This window comes from Homo sapiens, chromosome Y, assembly GCF_000001405.40.
Source record: "Homo sapiens chromosome Y, GRCh38.p14 Primary Assembly".
Classification (NCBI taxonomy): domain Eukaryota; kingdom Metazoa; phylum Chordata; class Mammalia; order Primates; family Hominidae; genus Homo; species Homo sapiens.
In genome coordinates, this window is record NC_000024.10 from 8,703,983 (window position 1) to 8,705,884 (window position 1,902).

A 1,902-nucleotide genomic window follows, 5' to 3' on the forward strand; every position below is an offset into this window, starting at 1 on the left:
TGAGACCACATGTGTGGATGTCAGTGAAAGATGGCTGGGCTCTTGACCTCACCATCTCCATTCATCCTTGACATCACAGAGGCTTTCTGGGAAATGTAGGAGCCACGACGAAGGGAAGTTCAATGCAGAATCATGTTCTCACATCTCATATCATCCTCTAACAGTTACAGATAAGGTTTAGACAGTGTTTCAGATGCCGTCTGTAGAGACGGCAAGCATGTAAATAATGTCCATTAGTTCTGTTGAGGGGCATTTTCGATTCCTGTGAGAGGGAAGAAAAATCAAGGCTCACCTGAAGGAAACAGCTGCCTTGTGCTGGAGTCCATGCAATGTTCAGTGATTTCTTTCAGAAGACCCAAAAGCCTTCAGAAAAGTGCAAACGTCAGCCCCTGCTATGAGACAACGATCCACAACCTGGAGCACAGACTGATTAATAAAAGTCCCTTTTCCTCTCTGAAATCTCTGGCAGCTACATAATCTGTGGCAAGAGACAGTCCCATTGAGCAACACTTCAATGAATGCACCCCTCCAAATTGAGAAGGCCATGAAGATGAAATGAAATAGTCTAGATTCCCAGGTAAAAGACTGACACAACTGCCTGCTTCTCATCCAAAAGAAATCATGCAGCTCTTCAATATGTAAGAGAGAACAAGTTTCCTTTTGGTGGCTGTAATGGGAATATACAGTTTTGAATGTATCAAACTTTCCAGTCATTAAAGCATGACAGTGTTTAGAAGGAAACATTCATGCAATAGATTAACATGAGTGTTGTTATCCATGAACTGGGAAATATTAAGTATTGAAGTCGTTAGGCCAGACCCAGGAAACCCTAGGACAATGAGAATCATGGAAGTTCTAAAAAGAAGAGGCAAGTCTTAAAGCCACATCCCACAAAGCATCAATCCATTCCACTCACATTTGGCTTCAAGTATGAAAGGCCCCAAATCCTCAGTTTGCCAGGATAGCCCCAATTTGCACTTCAAATGTTACTTGTACATTGGAGTACTCCCACCTGAACACTGAGCCAGGTTGTGGACTGCTTGTGCAATTAAGAGAATGGGGGGTGGATGTGGAAGCACCTTCTGTGTCATCTGTCTTTATTTATTTATTTATTTTGCAGATGAAGTTGCAAGACATCTTCTACCCCTCAACAGACTGTATCTTCACCTCTATCTGACCTTATTGCTGCTCACATTATTTGTCTCAAGATAAAATCCCAAAACTCTGGAGGGGTGCTGCCTCACAAGATGCATCACCTGCTCAGTTGGGAACCAAATTTGAGGTAAATTCAAGGTGCCCTGCTGACAGGACTGCTGTGTCTCTTCCTGTGTTGGCCTTAGGGATATGAAACACAGAGACATGTCTGTTTTTTTTTAATATGGTGTGCTCCTCTTATTTCTAGAACAGTTTTTGTTGTTGTTGTTGTTGTTTGTTTTGTTGTTTTTGTTTTTTCTTCAGAGGGAGTTTATTTGGATGCTAGCGATTCCAGACTTACATCCTAATTCACTGCAGATTCATGATCCACATAAAAATAAAGAACACAGAGCAGTGAAGACCATGCAGAGTCACACAGACAGGCCACCAAAAGGTGTGGAGACTTATAAAAAAAGAAGTGCTGAAGTGCGTTAGCCACATTTTTTTAAGCAGATTCCAGTAACAGACAGACACACACACACAGAAGACACAAAAACATAATGCCTCTCTCACACACACACACACACACACGTCAGACATTTGGAACATTCCCATAGAAACACTCAGCCTGGCATCTTGTGATGTGGCGTGGTTCTGCAGGAAGCCCCATCTGGGAGAGAATAACCCTGAGAAACATAGACGGGCTGCTCCTAGAAATAATAGTAGGGTAATTTTCATAATGACTCACACCTACAATGTCTAGGCAGG

General features: G+C 42.4%; 1 long non-coding RNA gene across 1 annotated transcript; it reads left to right on the plus strand.

The window, feature by feature from the left end:
* The first annotated feature begins 489 nt into the window (after positions 1 to 489).
* Positions 490 to 1,301, plus strand: TTTY19 (testis expressed transcript, Y-linked 19). Its single transcript, NR_001549.1, has 2 exons — positions 490 to 577; positions 1,121 to 1,301. It is a non-coding gene; the product is annotated as a testis expressed transcript, Y-linked 19 (long non-coding RNA).
* Positions 1,302 to 1,902: the final 601 nt, after the last annotated feature.